Here is an 18,814-nt window from a genome sequence, read left to right on the forward strand (position 1 = left end):
CTACTTGGGAGGCTGAGGCAGGAGAATCACTTGAGCCTGGGTGGCAGAGGTTGCAGTGAGCCAAGATCATGCCACTGCACTCCAGTCTGGGTGACAGAGTGAGACCCTTTCTCAAAAAACAAAACAAAACAAAACAAAACAAATAAGTTAAAAAAAATATATCTAGCTCTGTCACTCTCCTTGCTGAAAAATCTCAGAACAGGCTCAAATCCAAACCAGTTAGCATGGCCCTTCATGACTTGGCCTGGCCTCCCCTTCTGATCCACACCCATGTCTGGCCACCACTCCTCACCCCTCCCTTTGCCACTCCCATGCCTGGCTCTCAGCTCCTCATAGCATTTCCCTGCCCCTCTGCTCAATTGAACAACTTGCTCTCTCCCGAGGGAGTTGTCTGAGTCCCTCCTGGTCTGGTCAGGGGAGCAGTCTCTTCCTTTACAATGAGAATTCCCACTCCATTGCCTTCAGCCAGAAAGAGCAAAAATGGTCACTGATCATCCCAGAGCATATACCACATCTGGTCCCTTTCCAACCAACCCCTCTTACACACCATGAAAAGATCTGGATGACAAGCCCTAGCCTTGAGCTATCAGTGGGTTCATCCAGCTCCTGCAGCGTTCATCCAACTCCTGCAGAGCAGGACACTGGAACTGCCTTCAATGGGACCATCTTGTTTCTGAAGGAGCTTGAGGACCACCAGTGGAGGGCTGGGGATACACAGATTAGCTTACCCATCTGCCATTCACTCAACAAACACATTAAACTCCTCTGATAACCCAGGCCTAGGAAGTGGGCTGGGGGAGATTCAGACAGCCCTGCCCTCCAGGGCTTCCTGGGTGGGTGGCCCCATGCCATGCTCCTGAGTTTTAGGTGTCTCCAGCAGGCACACCAGAAGGTCCTCCCAGTCGACCTCCTTGCTCAACTGTCTTTTATCCACTCATTCATTCTCCAAATATATACGAGCCACCTGCTATGTGCCAGGAGCTTTTCTAAGTTGGGATGCAGCAATGGATAAGATGGACAAAAACCTTGCTCTTCATAGAGCATAAATTTCGGGAGTAGGAGATAATAAAACAAATGATCAAAAAACACAGGAAGTTAGAAGGTGCTTATGTAGCAAGGAACCAAACACGGAGTGTGGCGGAAGTGAGGGGCTATTTTAAATAAGGTCGTTGGCCTCCCTGAGAAGGAAAGTGACATTTGAAGAAAAACATGAAAGAAGGGAACAAGGCACCACCACTGCCACCCTCCCCACCCTCCAATTTGAGCAGTTTTTGCGGCAAGTATCTTAGAGCTGCAATTCCGGGAGAAAAATCGTGTGTTCTTTCTACCCACAGGAAAGGAGACAGAATGAAAGAAGGAAAGCCCGGGACAACAGAAATTCTTTCAATGTTGAACTGTCCCTGATGGACACTTGAAAACCGGCTCCGGCAGCAGAGCCGACCCGCCAGGCCCAGGGGCTCCCGGGCCCCTCCTGGGGCTGTCAGGCTAATCCGGCAGCCGCCTCCCACCCCGCCCCGCTCTGGGGGACTTTTGCTCGGGTGACTAAAGTTCAAACTCGGCTAAAGCAAGCCCTGGGAGGCGCTTTAAACAGGAAAGTGGCGCGGCCGCCCGAGAGAGCCCGGGTAGCGGCCCCCGGAAACCAGGCGGCGGGCAGAGGCCGCGGGGTGGGGAGGCCGGGTTGGCTGGGTGGGGAGGCCGGGTTGGCGGGGCGGCCCGGACCTCCCGGCTGCCCGCGCTAGCACCTGCCCAAGGCTCGGGTCTCTCAGAGGCACGGAGCTTTCTCTGCGGAAATGGCCAGGCTCCTGGGCGCGCTGGCGGCCCTGGACCGCCAAGCAGGGAGCCCCCTCTCCGGCCGCGGCCCGCCGGGCTGAGAGACCACAGATTAAGTGCGCCTTGGTTCTCTCAGGGATGCTATTTTGCTCCGGCCCGGGTCTCTCCCGCGCCGAGTTGCACAACAAACCATTTAAACATTTCAGCACAAAACCCGATCCATTGTGGGGCCGCACATTAAAAAGTGTTATTCGCTTTGAAGTTTTTGTCTAATGGCTCTAAACTGAAAGAAAATGTTTTCCTATTACTTAATTCAATCATAGCGAAGAGACTTGGTAAAAAGCCCACGGATTTTGCCCCAAAGTGTGACAGAGTTCTCTTTGTGTTTGCTTATCCTTCGCTGTCACACACTTTAATTCGCCTCTCTTTATCTGGCATTCAAAACTTTCTTCAATGACATTCAATAAGGTCCAGAGGCTGGAGAGAGGAAAAAAAAAAAAACCTGGTTATTCCCCCCACCCCCACCCCCACCCCCATATTCTTTCCCAGTAGCTTTGGCCTTGCTCGCATTCAGGGGCTCTTAACCCCTTCCTCCCCGGGCACGCGGGGCGGCTGCCAGTGGAGCTCCACGCTGGCCACTCGCGGGCTCCCAGCTCCGGGTGCAGTGCCCGCCCCTTGCACCCCTGGGCCCCGCCCGCCCTTGCGCCCCTCCAGCCTGCCTCTGCCCAGCGGAAAGCCCCTCTCCCCGCCCGGGTCTCGCTCTTCGCTTCCTCTCAGCGACCCAGCCCAGCTCAAATTTCCCAGAGAGCAATTAGAACGGGAATTAGGCTGCATTGATGCGTTCCGGCTGGTTTGCAGGCACCACCCTAGAGTGGGGGAGCCTTGGCGCTGAGACTCTGTCTCAGAGGGCAGCCTTGCCCCCCACTCCATGCCAAGCAACCAAGAAAACATTGAACCCTTACTCCTGCTAGATGCCATGCCCTCCATGCAGGTTACTTCTCCCATTGTCCTATTCCCTTTTACAGAAGCAGTTATTATCTCGCAAAACAAATTATCTTTGCTTTTTAATCAGTTATAATCTGTTGCTGTTGTTATTGCAAAGATGTTGCCAAGGATAAAAGCCCATGCAGATGCTTCGGGTTTGGGCAATCTTATTCCTGCGCACTGCTTCCCCAGACCCCTAAGCTTCCCCCTCCATTTCTCACAATTCCATTCAGGGCTCAGAGCAGGTGACTGCAGCGATTTGGTTCCAATAAAATCGAAAGTAAACGTCTCCTGTGAAAAGTCCCGGGCTGTAAATTAGAAATGTTTATGCTGATTTCCCATTGTATGGAAAAAGCTCCTGGGCGAAACAGCTTTGAGCCCGAGAACGATTTAAAAAGCTGGAGCTGTGTACACAGCTCTGAGCGTTTGAAGTTGTTTAACCATTGTGTGACCAGAAAGAAGAGTGACGCGGCAGGAAGAAGAAGCCGGGTCTTGGGGAGAGCGGAGGCGGGTCAGGGTGGGCAAAGGCAGCCGATGCCAGGAATACAACCGCCCTTCGCGCCGTTCCAAACTAAGAGATGGCAGCGGTTTCCCAGCGCACTGCTGGAAGTGTGCTCCAGTAGACAGGGTGTGGGCAAGATGCGCGGGCAGACAGTCCGCACTCGCCACATGTGCTGGGGTGCGAGATCTAGATCTGCGCCATCTCGGCTTTCATTCCCCATTCCCTGTCTCTGTTCGTAACGCTCAGAGACTGTTTTTCCTCTTTTACATCCACGGCCCTGTCATTTGAAGGAAAGGGCTGGTTGGCCAGCATCTACCGAACAAAGACTGGGCGTCGTAGGCAGCACCAAAATTAAGACTATTTGAGAAACTTAGAGAAAACCGAGGGACAGCGATGGGTCTAGGGCTGGATAAGGAATAATGAGCCCTTCTCCTCCCTCCCCACAGACGCCTCCTTCACGCGGGAACCCGGTCCTCCTTCTTCCGACGCAGAGAGAGAAGCGATTCCACAGGTGGAAAATCTGAGACCGGCTGGAGGGAGGTTCGGGGGTGCACGGCACTGAGCTGACAGGGCTGACTGGAGACAGCATACTTTTGGGGTGTAAGGGCGATAATAGAAAGAAGGGGACCAGGACCAAGTGGACAGAGGATATGAGGGTGTGCGCCCATGGGGATCTGTAGAAGAGAGGCCGCGGGGGTGCAAAATCAGTAAGGTGAACGGGCTGATGGCCAATGCAAAGCCAAAGGGGAGTAAGAAATAAAGAGAAAGGAAAGAATATTAAATCGCGGGAGAATGAGAAAATAAACCCGCAAAAGGGAGAGGAGGGGGCGAGGGCGCCTGTTACGGCGTGGGTGGGGTTGACAAGAATAGAGTACATTATGCAGTTCATTTAGTTAACAAGTGAAATAATGAGGAAGCGTGCAGAGTGAATGCCAAGAGAAAAGGCACAAAAACCCTATTGAGAGGCCCCGGCCGCTCCTGGCGTAGTCCATCACATGGCAATAGTCCTATTTAAGCCGCGCCGCCGGCGCCTTTCAGCACCACTAGCGCTGGCCAGCACCCCGCGCTCTTTGGGCGGTGCCCACGGCAGCAGAGGCTACTGTTTCAGCCTAGGTCTCAGCCGCGCGTTCAGCCTCCTGGGCAGAGGCAGCTGCGGGATACCGCGGCCAGGGAAAGCGCGTGGAGAGCCGAAAGGTGCGGTGGGCGCAGAGGGCGGGCTGGCTGCGGGGCGACCGCGCGCCGGGGCCATGCCGCGCTCCTTCCTGGTGGACTCGCTAGTGCTGCGCGAGGCGGGCGAGAAGAAGGCGCCCGAGGGCAGCCCGCCGCCGCTCTTCCCCTACGCTGTGCCCCCGCCGCACGCGCTGCACGGTCTCTCGCCTGGCGCCTGCCACGCGCGCAAGGCTGGGCTGCTGTGCGTGTGCCCGCTCTGCGTCACCGCCTCGCAGCTGCATGGGCCCCCCGGGCCGCCCGCGCTGCCTCTACTCAAGGCTTCCTTCCCACCCTTCGGCTCGCAGTACTGCCACGCGCCCCTGGGCCGCCAGCACTCTGCTGTGTCGCCCGGGGTCGCTCACGGCCCGGCCGCCGCTGCTGCTGCCGCCGCGCTCTACCAGACCTCCTACCCGCTGCCTGACCCCAGGCAGTTCCACTGCATCTCTGTGGGTAAGCGGGGCCGCCGCGCAGAGGGACCGGGCAGAGGTGATCCGAAGCAGGATGGAGAGCCAGAGATGGAGGAAGAGGGACCCTGGGCTTTCTGGGGGCGGTGAGGGTCATGTCGGGGACTAAGGGGGGCGCTTGGGGTGGAGTGAGGATAGAGGGCCGGGACACAACGCCAGGAGGCGGATGAGGGCAGACGTCCAGGTCCTGGAGTGTGGGCCGGGGTAAGTGAGGGCTGGGATCCAAGGCTCTCCATGAAGGGGAAGGGGTTCCAGGGCTGCATGACTCCGGGAGAATCAGGATCTCGGAGCTGGACAAGGAGCGCTCACTGTAGCTCTGCTGTGGATTGTGTTGGGGCGAAGAGATGGGTAAGAGGTCAAAGTCGTAGGATTCTGGCGACCGCCTACCAAGGGATTGGGTCCACAGCACAGAGGTCTGATCGCTTCCTTCTCTGCTCTGCCACCTCCAGACAGCAGCTCTAACCAGCTGCCCAGCAGCAAGAGGATGCGCACGGCTTTCACCAGCACGCAGCTGCTAGAGCTGGAGCGCGAGTTCGCTTCTAATATGTACCTGTCCCGCCTACGTCGCATCGAGATCGCGACCTACCTGAATCTGTCCGAGAAGCAGGTGAAGATCTGGTTTCAGAACCGCCGAGTGAAGCACAAGAAGGAGGGCAAGGGCAGCAACCATCGTGGCGGCGGCGGCGGGGGTGCCGGTGGTGGCGGGAGCGCACCGCAAGGCTGCAAGTGCGCATCGCTCTCCTCAGCCAAGTGCTCCGAGGATGACGACGAATTGCCCATGTCTCCGTCCTCCTCAGGGAAGGACGACCGGGATCTTACGGTCACTCCCTAGGCGCGTGTCTCCCTAGGTCGCCCACCCCAAGACCTCCCTGCGCCTCGGAGACTAGTCCTGGGACTCAGCGCTGATTCCCAGGCACCCGCAGCCAAACCACTGCCTGGCATGGATTTGGCACTGCTTTGCAGAGGTCCCGGGCCTGGGCAGGGCTGAGAGCTTGGCAGAGACTGGACCATGGCGTCCCCGCCCCAGGGCTCGCTCGTGTCCAAAGCCAACTCCAAGCTGTGAACACTGTAAGCGCTCGAGTCCTCCTGGGCAGTGCAGCACCGCGGCCCCCGCCCGCAAGCCTGCTTGGCGCAGCGCCTTGCTGGCAGCCGGCGCCTCCTAGCCCGCCCTCTCTGGGCTGGCTTGGGCTTCCTCGCTTACTCTACTCTCCTCCGCTCTCGGTCAAGGTCGGCGGCCTTGGATGCTCGTTCGCTTCTCTTTTTAAAATGTCTTTTTGTCCCTCCCCACCTCTTTCCTGTGATCATTTATTCACTCGGCCCCCGCCCGCCAACACACACATTTATGAACCCCCACTTTTTTTTTCCTTCTCCTTTTCCCTTCCCCTCCTCAGGGAGCCTCCTCCTTCAGTCAGTCCATTTGTCCCTTGATCTGGCCTTGCTGTCCTCAGTCCCCACGGCTCCTCTCACAGATGATAAATTTCGCCCGTAGTATCCATATTGGGGAAACAGATTTGCTCTGTTTCCAACACGCTCTTCCTTCCTCTAAACATAGGACCCCGCTCTGCGCCGCTGGCGACCCCACTCTTCCCCCTCCAGACTCTGGCCCGCCCCAGCCTAGCTGTGTAATTGTACGGCCTCTGCAATGCCAGAAGATATTTATTTATTTATTTATGTACAAAATTTTAAATAAACTTTTTTTTTTCTTAGAAATGCCCGTGGCTCTGAGCCCAGAGGCCTTCGCTCTGGAGTAGACAGGCGCCAACCCGGATTGGGCCTCCCTTCTGGGAAGGGTTGGGGATCCAGTTGCAGGGTCCGAGCCGGCTCCTCGCCTTACAGCTCAGCCAGTGCCTCTCGGAACCCTCAGCTCCGCTGAGAGCCCGCCTTGCATGCCAGCCAGGTGCGCGCTAACGATTGTCCCGCTCCGGCGTGGCGCACAAGCGTCGCGGAGCTCAGAGAGCTAAGCCGGAAGGGAAGGAGAGCGCTCTCCTTGGACTGCACCATGGGTCCCAACCCCTGCAGCGCCTCCTTCTCACCTGGGATCCAGCCCCACCTCCATCCCTCACCATTTCGCTGTCCTGGCCAACAGCCGGGAGGGCAGAAACCACTCCCTCCATAAGCACAAGAAATCCGTCCTTCACTGCGCTTGGATTGATAACGATTCGTTAGGGACAAATTTCCATTCTGCGGGATGGTGCAGACTTCTCTCAGAGGGCCCTCCTCTCTTTGTTTTAAGGCAAATTCCCTTAGCCGAGTCCCTGGTCGCGGAACATTCCGGGCAAGGAATCCGAGAATCCGAAGTGATCCTGCCCCAGGGAGTCCCCGAGAGGGACTCTGCATAGCTGGAGCCAGTGGCTCTGGGACCTCATGTTCTCACCAATTCTCGTTAAAATCCTATATCCCCCTACGACTTAGAATCCACACCCCAGCTCCCTTTGAGGACATATGCGGGTTTTTTTACTCTCTAAGATGGATGAGGAGAAGGAAGTGCGTGAGGTTCTGCAGAAACGGAGAGCGCACAGCTGCGGGAGGAGTATTTCTGCAGTCAGTATTTCTGCAGTCAGACCTGGGAAGCTAATATCCGCGTTCTCGCCGCTCCCATTCTGTGTCCAGGAAACCTGATAGACCTTCTTTTCCTGCCAGACCCCTACACACACACACAGACACACACACACATACACACCCTGGGGAGCGCTGAACTCCCCGTGTCTAGGCAAAGCAAATGCGTCTTTTCCAGCAGGAAAGACGGTCCACCTGAGGTTGCTTAACATTTTTGAAGCTCATTTCCTCCCCCCCACAAAACGGCTTTATTGAGCTATTCACATTAGCATCCAGTTCATTCATTCAAAGTGTGCAATTCCACAACTTTTAGTATATTCACAGAATTGTGCAACCATCGACACAATCTTATTTAAAAACATTTTTGTCATCCCAAAGAGAAACCCCATCATGCCCATTGATAGTCTCTGCCAATTCTCACTATATCCCAGCCCTAGGCAACCACAAACCTACTTTTGATCTTGTATTAGTCAGGGTTCTCCAGAGAAAAGAGCAAATAGGCTGTATGTAGTTATGTGAGGAGGTTTATTCTGGAGACCAGGAACTACTGTGATATGCCATCTGCAAGCAGGAGAACTAGGAAAGCCAATGGTGTGATTTTAGTCCCAGTCTAACCGGCCTAAGAACCAGCGGAGCCGATGGTGTAACTCCTAGTCGGAGGCCAAAAGCCTGAGAACCTGGGAAGCCGCTAATCGAAGACCCAGACTACAAGGCCCCGGAACCAGGAGCTTGTGGGGCTTAGTTCTAAAATCTTCCATCTTTTCCTTCAAATCAAGCTGAGGATGGGGGTGGGAGGGTCTCTCTCCAGTTCCCCTGGAACAAGGGCAGGCACGATCTAGCTCCCCATGGAGAAACTCTTGCCGGTTCTTCCTGGAGCTAGGCATCTGAGTTGTGCTCTAGACTGATGAGGATCTCCATCAGTCTGAACCTCACTTTAGACGGGGACCAATTCTCCACCATCCCAGGAGGCGACATTGTGCCAATCTACGGCCAATCTGAACGAAGCCAAGGTGCTTTAGTGCATACCAGTGAATAGAATCACAACTGTTTTACTATCAGTGATGAGGCTGATGCTTGCTGAGTTTTGCTCGTTTGCATGTTGCTCTAGGGCCCCAGGGTGAGTGCAGTTGTGCACTCTTAGCTCCAGCAGGACCGGCCCAGCCTCCGTTTGGCTGGGATTTGGGGGCGGGCGGCAGCACGATTTTCTGGCAACGAGTTCGTTGTGGGTCTGAAGGACCGGCTTAGAACTAGCACCTCTCCTGGATTACAGGAGGGGGTGGTCTTGTGCACCTGGGAAAGGCCTTCGCCAGCACTCAGTGTCAGGCATCTTGATCAGAAATGCACTTTCGAGCCTGCCAGGGAACCAAGTTTGGAGGGGATGGAAACGGCGGTGGGAGACATAGAAAGGATGAACACACACACCCGGCTCTCCCCGCACTCGCCTCTTCTCCAGCTCCCCCTCCTCTCCCGCCTAGGAGTCCCTCCTGTTCCCAGCTTCTCCCCAGAGTCCGCAGATCCACAGCTGTGAGCCAGGTCCGCGTGGGGCCAGTTTTCCCAGGAGTGCACGTTTCCTCCTCTCGGCTTCCCAGGGATTCATTTCCGGAAGACCAAGCTTTCAGCTTTCTAGTCTGCCTTAGCGAGCAGCGGGAGGAAAAAAGCAAGCCTCCTTGTGGCGATCCCAGTTGTTGCCAAGGTGGTGACGGGAGCGCAGCGCTGGGGACCTGGAGGCGGCTGCGGCGCACCAGAGCTCTCAAGCATCCCGCCGCCAGCAGAGACTGCGTTCAAGTCCCAGCACACTTTCGCTCAAACACTCCTCACCCTGCAACCTCTGACCTGAATGCAGAAACAGTTTGCGTCTTGTGCTGAGCTGGCCGGGAGGCCTCCGCTCGTGTCAAAGCCTCTCCTCTGCCGCCTGGGTTGACCGCCAGGGAAGGGCGTGATTGCGGCCTGGAACTACCGGCTCCTCCTCTGAGGAGACCCAATCCAGCCATTAAACCACACTGCTCTGAGCTGGAATTTGGGGCTCACAAGGCGAATTGTGAAATTAGAACCAAACTGAATTATCAGGATGATATTTTCTGGAAATTGCCTTTTAACCTGGTAATTTGCGTACAGGTCCCTGAGTTTATTTCAGGGACAGTGTCCATTTCTCTGTGCAGTGTAGTGGCTAGGAGCGTGGGCCCTGCAAAAGCCTGGCTTTGCAATCCGTGTCCACCATTTCCTAATCTTGGGCAAAGCCACTGGTCCTTCCTAAACTTCAGTTTCTTCCTCTGTAAGTGGGGATTATGTTAACAGTTCCTCTGCTGGGTTGATGTGCAATATTAATGGATAGAATTCCCATAAAATGCTAAGCAGAATGTCTGCCATGTTTCAATAAATGTTAACTAATATTGTTGTTGGTGGCGTTGCCGTTGTTATTTGCAGTGTCTACAGCTGCGCCTGGCGCATAGTAGATGCTGAATTATTTAATGAGTGCTGAAAAGTGACCACTCACACTCAGACTTAGATCCAAATCTACAGCTGAGGGAGGGGTTGGGAACACATGCAGGTGCAAACATTTCCTGGACTCTGTGGAGTTAGTGGAAAATAAGGAATGCTCCCCTCTGCCAAGCACCAGGTGCTGGAATCGCTTAAGTCCAAACAGGGATGTCCTTTTCACCTTCATTTAAACCAGTTCCTCAACCTCCACTCTATTGACATTTTGAATGATTCTCTGTTGTGTGGGGCTGTCCTCTGCATTCCATGGAAGCTAGCAGCACACCTAGCCTCTACTAACTAGATGCCAGTAGCACCTTCTCCCAGTTGTGACAACCAAAAATGTCTCCAGACATTGCCAAAAGTCTGGGGAGGAAATATCACTTCAAGCTGAAAACAACTGATTTCAACCCGTATCATTTCTGCAGAAGTCCACGGTGGCCAGGATTTTGTGGCCTGGCTCTGAGAACACCTTTCTTCCTTTCCTCCAGCTATCCTTTCATTGGATACCTGTACCTTCTGCATGTGAGGTACTAGACTGTGCTCTGCAATGTAGTGCGACAGCAGAAAGCAGAAAGAGAAAGTGCGGGAAGGGCAGCTGGTGGAAATAGCAAAGCTGAAGGCCTTTTCTGCATAGTGGGGGCATGCAGCTAGTCTGCACAGCCTAAGACATACAGGTTGAAAGCCTAGGGCAGTCAGAGGCCTGCTGGCTGAACAGAATTTACAGGGCTTCTAGAGTCTTTCCAAGAATATCCTATCCATATATTTCATGGCCCTGTAGACAATAGGCTCCCTCTGCAGTCAGGTCCATGAGTACCCACAAGGCCAACCTTTGGAGGAAAAATTTTAGGAGGCTGAGGTGGCATCTCTCAAGTCTCTCTCTCTCTCTCTCTCTCCCCACCCCCCCCCCCCACACACACACACATACACTCGCCACCACAATTAGGGTTCTTCTTGAAGCACATATAGGCATTTGTTAACACCTTCTCTCTTGAAGACATTGTTTTGTTAATGCCTACATGTCTGAAACTGAACTTCAATTCTTTTTGATTAAAGCCTCTCATTTGATGCAAACACAAGTAGCCTTGCAAACAGTAACCACTGAGCACTGACAGTCATTCACTTTTTCTGAGAAAAGGCCCTGGAATGGCAAGAGTAGGGGGGTGATGAGGACAGAGGACCAGGTACATGGAAGAGATGCAAGGGCAAGAGAAGGGTGGTGGTGGCGGGGAGGGCTCTGGAAGTCTTACTGCACCAATCAGTGCAGTGAGGCCATTGGTTCCCCACCCCTAAATTGGAAGGCTGAGCCACTGTGTTTACTAGACTTCTTCAGAACCCAGCTTTACCCACAAAGTAAGGAATAAACCAATTCCAATGAGGCAAAAACTCATGAATCCAGCCTTTCCCCAACCTTGCATGTAATCATCCACAGGTGAGTCTGTTATACTAATAGGAATGTGTGTGTGTATGTTTATGTGTGTGCACATGTTGGAGAGACTGAAACAAGGGGAAGGTGGGAAAAAAAAGTTGGCGAGTCTAGGAGGAGAATGAGATTTCACTCAAGTTAAACAGCCTGGTTTAGTGATCATGCTGTCACTATGAATCCAAGCACTAGTGCTAGAAAGTTCCTTTGAAACCACCAAGGAAATTCCAGGGCCCTGAACCTGACACCTCCCAGCCTGGCTTCCAGGGTTTTATCTGTGAGTGGCTCAAGGGAGGAAGTGCCTCCCTTGGTATGTTTGGGAGACATTTGACTTGGTATCCATTTCGGGCAGTAGTGGGTAAGGAAGGTGTGGCATTCAAGAGTCTGCCCTGCACCACCTAGTCCAGGGGGCACTGGTCAGAGTGGGCATGAGTCTGGGGCAAGCCAGGGCTCCCTCAGGGGAGCCATGCAAGGAGGAGGCCCCACTCCTAATCCAGTTGGCTTTCAGGCTGTTGGATCCCAGGATGCAGTGTCAGTCCAGGGGCCACCCCCATTGGTTCACTGTTCACAGAGAAGTGTCAGAAAGAAGCAGATGTCTTATCCCTGATTCCATAATGATGTGAATTTCTAAAGTAGCTCTGTTATGGGCTAAATTGAATTCTCTCAAAATTCACATATTGAAGTCTCCAGTACCTCACAATATAACCATATTTAGAGATAGGGTCTTTAAAGAGGTAATTAAGGTAAAATGAGGTCATATGAGTGGGCCTTAATCCAATATGATGGTGTCTTTATAAGAAGAAGAGTTTAGGACCCAGACACACCTGAAAAATGCCATGTGAAGACACGGGGAGAAGACGGCCATCTGCAAGTCAAGAAGAGAGGCCTCAAAAGAAACAAAATCTGTCTACGCCATGATCTTGGACTTCCAGCCTCCAGAACCGTGAGACAATAAATACCTGCTGCTGAAGCCCCTAGCCTGTGGTATTTTGTCATGGCACCCACGCAGACTGATACAAGTTCTGACCTAGGTGAGAGCTCTCTGGACCTCTGTAGGCTACTGTAAGAATATGGAAGATTGTAGAGGAAAGAGTTTTGGGCTGGTAGTCAAGAATCTGACATCCATCCTGGATTGTGCCACTAACTGGTTCTGTAACTTTGGACAAATCATCTAATCTTCCTGGACCTCTGATTCCCCTTCTCCAAAGTTAAGGGGTGTAACAGGCATTTGGTGTTTGTTTCTGTTTTTGTTTTCTTCTGACCAGCATTCATTCCCCTTCCTTTTGGTGACAGAATCTAGATTTTTTTTTTGTCAAATGCAAATTAAGGTCAGTTCTGGAAAAGAACAGGCACCCACTGAGGCAGGCACTTGTACACCGTGGGAGTTCTCCATGGGCAGGTTCCTGCGTTCCTCTTCAACATCCAATGGAGATTAGAAACTTACTACCTGTCCCCCTAACAGCTCAGACATGGGCACAGGACCTGGGCCCAACTAACTGGACATTTCCCCTAGAAATATGAATCTAGAGGAGAGTAATGCAGAGATGCATGTCAGTTAGGGATGATTTCCTATGGCCATGAAGTTTAGAGCTTCCACATAATGGCAAATGACCCATGACAGTGTGGAAGGGATTGTCCAGGATGGGAACCCCAGAGATGGCCTCTAGCTGGACTGTACATGGATGGGGTCTTGGCTATCTCCTCCCTCCCTGCCTGGTAGCCAGGCCATTTTCTCCAGCTTTACCATTGATTCTGTGAATTATCAGATGACCTTCCCTTCAATACCTTTTCTGCTTAAGTAGCCAGAATTCATCTCTGTTGCCTGCAGTTGAGAATTCTGAGTGATGCAATAATTCATAACATAAATGAGCTGTTTAGAACCTGCACAGGATTGTGAACAGAGCATGGAGAAGTATGATGGCTCCTTCCCTAGAACCAAGCATCAGTTCTGACCAGGTGATCAGTATTACTTACATGGAACATGGAATCCCCTGTACTTTGGTATTCCTTGGCTCTTTTTTTTTTTTTTTTTTTTTTGAGCTGGAGTCTCACTTTTTTCACCTAGGCTGAAGTGCAATGATGTGATCTCAGCTCACTGCAACCTCTGCCTCCCAGGTTCAAGCGATTCTCCTGCCTCAGCCTCCCAAGTAGCTGGGATTACAGGTGTCTGCCACCACACCCGGCTAATTTTTGTATTTTTGTAGAGATGGGGTTTCATCATGTTGGCCAGGTTGGTCTCGAACTCCTGACCTCAGGTGATCCACCCGCCTCAGCTTCCCAAACTGCTGGTATTACTGGCGTGAGCCACCGTGCCCGGCCTTCCTTGGCTCTTTAGGCTGTTGCCCATGCATTCCTTTTGGACACACTGGGGCATTTAGACTTGGTTTTATGGTTTGAATATTTGTCTCCTCTGAAACTCATGTTGTAACTTAATCCCCAATGTATCAGTATTGGGAGGTGAGGTCTTTAACAGGTGATTGGGTCCATGGATTAATCTATTCATGGGTTAATGAACTAATGGATCATCATGGGAGTAGATCTGTTATAAAAAGCCAAGTTGGCCTGGCCTGGTGGCTCACGCCTATAATCCCAGCACTTTGGGAGGCCGAGGTGGGTGGATCACCTGAGGTCAGGAGTTCGAGACCAGCCTGACCAATGTAGTGAAACCCTGTCTCTACTAAAAATACAAAATTAACTGGGGGTGGTGGCACATGCCTATAATCCCAGCTACTTGGGAGGCTGAGGCAGGAGAGAACCTGGGAGGCAGAGGTTGCAGTGAGCCAAGATCGCACCATTGCACTCCAGCCAGAACTATAAGAGACACATTTATTTTCTTTATAAATTATTCAGTCCTACGTATTTAGTTATAGCAGCAGAAAGCAGACTAAGACACTTGGGTGGATGGTTTCAGAGTTCATCACCCAGTGGTGATAACATGGGTCACAGCTGGATCATGAACTGGCCTCACCCTGGAGCAGCACTGGGCTTCCTGGGGGCAGGAGAAATGGTGCTTCCTCCCACTCTACACATCTGCAGGAGGAGCCATGTCCACGCCATGCCCCTTTGAGATGGTTGTCCACCCCGTGCACACATTTCTAGATCAGCTCAGTCTGTGCTACTTTGCTCTTACTCACCAGGGAAGAGATGCTCCCTGAACTTCTTCATAAGACTCTCTGTGGCAGTTAAGAATGTCCTAAGAGTGCTGGATAATTCTAATCACAACTCTTTTAGTGCAAGTGTTGGAACCTACGTTAAGCTAAAAGGTATCTACGGGCTCACAGAACCATTTAAGTTCAGGAGTGAAGCTGTCCTCAGGAGCTCCGGGGACTTAAATGATGTGCTGAGGTGTCTGGCCCTCCTCATCCACTGGCTTTGCTTCTTTCCATGTGTTGGTTTGATTCTCTCATCCTGTGGACAAGGTGGGACCATAGAGGGGTGGTGGACAAAGGGTAGGAGGACAAGGTCAGCATGGCAACAACCAGCTTCAGACTTAGGTCATCCCAGCAAAATGGCCCCAACAAAAGAGCAAAAGTATTTTTCTCTCTCTCTCCCAAAGTTCTCTAGTGATAGCAAGTGGCCTGTGGCAGCAGCCCCAGAGTAGTGGCAGGCGTTGTCCAGGTGGCAACCCCGGAGGTGACCATTCTAACCACAGATTGGCTCTGCCTGGTTCCATGCCATCCTGTGGCTGTGGCCAGGGGTGGCACTCTGGGGGAAGTTCCACTGGAGGCTCCACTAGAACACAGGAAATAGGGGGTTGGGGTGACTGGAAGGAACAAAATGGATGCTGAGCAGACAAAACTAAGACATCTATTCTGGGTACCAACCACTGCTTCATGTTATAGTACAGTGGTTCAAAAGTATACATTGTGGGCCCTCAGGTTCCCTTGGGGGTCCAAAAGGTCAAAGCTATTTTCATACTACTACTAAGACGTTATCTGTCTTTTTCACTGGGTTGATATTTGCCCTGATGGCACAAAAGGAGTTATGGGCAAAACCGCTGGTGCCTTAGACAAATCCAGGCAGTGGGGAAAGAGCTATGCTAGTGATCACTGTGTTCTTGGCCCCCACACACCCAGGGTGAAAAAGAAATCCAACTGCACCCAAGAATCTTATTTACAAAGAGGTTAACATGATAATTTCATTAAAGCTCAACTTTGAAGACATGGCTTTTTAATATTCCATGTGACAAAATGGTAAGTTTTCATCTGTTGCAAACAAAAGTACACCAAAAAAATAAATTAAGTTGCCTCTTGAAAAACACACACATAATTGAATAGCAAGCTGAACTGGCTGCTTTTTTCGTGGAAAACCATTTTACTTGAAAGAAGGACTGACAGAAAAACTGGTTATTCAGACTTGGGTATTGGGCAGATATTTTCTTGAAAATGAAGTGAGCCTGTTACTTTAAGAAAAACAACTGAAGTATTTGCTGTCAATGATAAAATTTGAGGTTTCATTCAAAAATTGGAATGCTGGAATACTTACATTCATCACTGTGAACTTGACAGGTTCTCAATACTTGAAGACTTTTCTGATGAGATTGGTGGAGACATTAACAAATATGATTCAAAAATACATTATATAATGAAATGTGCCAACATACGGGTGCTCTTTATTAACTCAGTGAACCAGTATTTCTAGATGACCAAGGAATGATGTTACAAAATGCTGCTCAAGTAAAGGATCCATTCAAACATCAAGATAGATCAGCAGATTTTCATGTAACAGAGTGCAAACAAAAAATTTATAAGATTCCAGATTCCACATCATAACTTTTAAGAAATTCAAGTTTTGATGTAATACCAAGAAAAATATCCACAATTATATTAAAAGGCTATTAAAATACTCCTCCTGGCTGGGTGCACTGGCTTTTACCTGTAATACCAGCACTTTGGGAGGCCAAGGTGCATGAAACACTTGAGACCAGGAGTTCAAGACTCTGTTGCCCAGGCTGGAGTGTGATGCCAGCATAGCTCACTGCAGTCCCGGACTCCTGGGCTCAAGTGATTCGCCTGCTTCAGTCTCCCAACTAGCTAGGACTACAGGCATGTACTACCATGCCCAGCTAATTAAAAAAATTTTTTTTTCATAGATGAAGTCTTGCTATGTTGCCCAGGCTTAAAATGCCCTCCACTTTTTAAGCCAATTATCTGTATGAGGCTGATTTTCTTCATATAGTTCAAGGAAAACAACACATTGCAAAAAAACTGAATGCCCGTTAACATCCCTCAGGTGATCTTAGAACTCAGCTATCTTCTATTAAGCCAGATATTAGAAGTTTGCAAAAATATAAAGCAATGCTACTCTTCTCACTAATTTTTTTTGTTTTGGAAATTATAGTTATTTTATACAAATATGCTATTTAAGTGAAAAAGGAATGTTTATTATGTTGTTTAAAATAAATCTATAAATATTTTTAAATTTTGTGTTTTAATTTCAAATACAGTCCATTTTATTTTTATTTTTATTTATTTTGAGACGGAGTCCTGCTCTGTCCCAGGCTGGAGTGCAATGGTGCAATCTCAGCTTGCTGCAACCTCCGCCTCCTGAGTTCAAGCGATTCTCCTGCTTCAGCCTCCTGAGTAGCTGGGATTACAGGTGTGTGCCACCAAGCCCGGCTAATTTTTGTATTTTTAGTAAAGATGGGGTTTCACCATGTTGTCCAGGCTGGTCTCGAACTCCTGACCTCAGGTGATCCACCCGCCTTGGTCTCCCAAAGTGCTGGGATTACAGACATGAGCCACAGCGCCCAGCCCAAATACAGTCAATTTTAATAGAGATAGCTCACATAAACAAAAACCCTTTGGTGGCCTGGTGCCCTCAATATTTTTTAAGAGTGTAAAGGGTCTTCAAAACCAAAGCATGTGATGGGCTATTGTAGTGTATTAATAACAATAGCAGCCAGCACTACCAGACACCTGTTAACCCTCTTAATCCTCATGAAAGCCCCATGAAGTAGGAATTATTGTAATCCTCATTGCCCAGATGAAGAAACTGAGGCACAGAGAGGTAAAATGACTCCCAAATGTCATGCTGATAGCATGTGGAGACCCTGGAAATCCAGCCCAGGAGTCTGACTCTGGAGTTCGCATTTCTAACTTGTTCAAAATGTTGCCTCTTCTCTATGAGCCAGTTATGAGGCTGTTAATTTGTTTTCCACAGGGTAACCATCTGACTACCCATTGCATTTCGCATAATCAAGAGGCCTCAGACTTCATGGTCCTCTCTCTACCATCCCCAATATCCAAGCCTAGTAGCTGCACCACTGATTTAAAAAAGAAGACACCAAACCACTTTCAAAGATGCATTTAACATAAAATCTGGCTATTCCTATATAACATCTTCAAACATGACTTTCCTGAAGGTCTCTTATACTGCTTTCCTCTGGGACAAAAAAGGCAGGAAAATCCTTTTACCAATATTGAACTACTATCAAAATCTAGCACACCTGCTCCTGAAAACTTGCAGGATTACCATTTCACTTCATCTTTTTTTTCCTGCTACACTTTTTGTTTTTGTTTTTGAGACAGGATCTTGCTCTGTCACCCAGGCTGGAGTGCAGTGGTGCAATCACAGCTCACTGCAGCCTCAACCTCCTGGGCTCAAGTAATCCTCCCACCTCAGCCTCCTGAGTAGCTGGGACTACACTTGCATGCCACCATGCCCAGCTAACTTTTTTATTGTTTGTAGAGATGGGCGTCTTGCTATATTGTCCAGGCTGGTCTTGAATTCCTGGGCTCAAAGGATCCTCCTGTCTTGGCCTCCCAAGATGTGGGCTTACAGGCGTGAGCCACCCGTCCTGGCTGCTGTACTCTTAAAATTGAAAAATTGCTGGTAGGTGTTTGTGTTTTTACCACCTGTGCCATTATGCCCAATGCCCCTAGATAAGTGTGATCTCACAGGTCACAGTGCCAGGGAACTCCAGCTGTAGGAAAGTCATCCATTAACGTTCCTCTGTTGATCCTAGCTCAGTCCGATGTACACGTGGAGCTCTCTGTGTTGCCTGATCTATCTGTGGCCGTGTAGTTTCTCTTCATAAACTTGGCTTAATACACCAAGCATAATATGACACATGGCTGAATAACCAAAATCTCATTTCGCTCAAGTATCTTTTAATTAAAATGTTAATTTGGGCATGCATAAGTTAACTCCACTTCAGCCCAGAAAGAAGGGTAAAAGGATTTTGAAATTTTCACCAACTTAAGGCATTTTGGGGATACGGTTTGTATGAAAGATGCTTCAGAAAATGAAGTTGTCATGCATTGTATGTGTAAATAAACCTTTCAGCTCACTGGCAGGATAGAAGCGCAGTAGGGCTGGAAAGGCATTCTGGGTATTAGCATGCAAATGAGCGTGTCAACAGTGGCTAGAGTGTACCTTGGGGTGGTAAACAAGCTGATTGTCATGGGAAATGTAGTTGGCTCTGCTCTG

General features: G+C 50.5%; 1 protein-coding gene across 1 annotated transcript, besides 3 other annotated features; it reads left to right on the plus strand.

Annotated features, from left to right (window-relative positions):
• Positions 4,223-5,026: an enhancer, noted in NCBI's record as "H3K27ac-H3K4me1 hESC enhancer chr13:28366547-28367350 (GRCh37/hg19 assembly coordinates)". NCBI's record gives its function as "activates a minimal SCP1, AML or CMV promoter by ChIP-STARR-seq in naive H9 embryonic stem cells {active_cell/tissue: H9 hESC(naive)}" and the evidence as "EXISTENCE:reporter gene assay evidence [ECO:0000049][PMID:30033119]".
• On the plus strand, positions 4,296-6,581 carry GSX1 (GS homeobox 1). The gene is made up of 2 exons (NM_145657.3): positions 4,296-4,915; positions 5,379-6,581. Exons 1-2 carry the CDS (start codon positions 4,504-4,506, stop codon positions 5,759-5,761), a joined length of 795 nt encoding a protein of 264 aa, NP_663632.1. The 5' UTR covers positions 4,296-4,503; the 3' UTR covers positions 5,762-6,581.
• Positions 6,635-7,437: an enhancer, noted in NCBI's record as "H3K4me1 hESC enhancer chr13:28368959-28369761 (GRCh37/hg19 assembly coordinates)". NCBI's record gives its function as "activates a minimal SCP1, AML or CMV promoter by ChIP-STARR-seq in naive H9 embryonic stem cells {active_cell/tissue: H9 hESC(naive)}" and the evidence as "EXISTENCE:reporter gene assay evidence [ECO:0000049][PMID:30033119]".
• Positions 8,837-9,519: an enhancer, noted in NCBI's record as "H3K4me1 hESC enhancer chr13:28371161-28371843 (GRCh37/hg19 assembly coordinates)". NCBI's record gives its function as "activates a minimal SCP1, AML or CMV promoter by ChIP-STARR-seq in primed H9 embryonic stem cells {active_cell/tissue: H9 hESC(primed)}" and the evidence as "EXISTENCE:reporter gene assay evidence [ECO:0000049][PMID:30033119]".

The sequence above is a fragment of the Homo sapiens genome, chromosome 13, assembly GCF_000001405.40.
Source record: "Homo sapiens chromosome 13, GRCh38.p14 Primary Assembly".
In the NCBI taxonomy this organism is placed as follows: domain Eukaryota; kingdom Metazoa; phylum Chordata; class Mammalia; order Primates; family Hominidae; genus Homo; species Homo sapiens.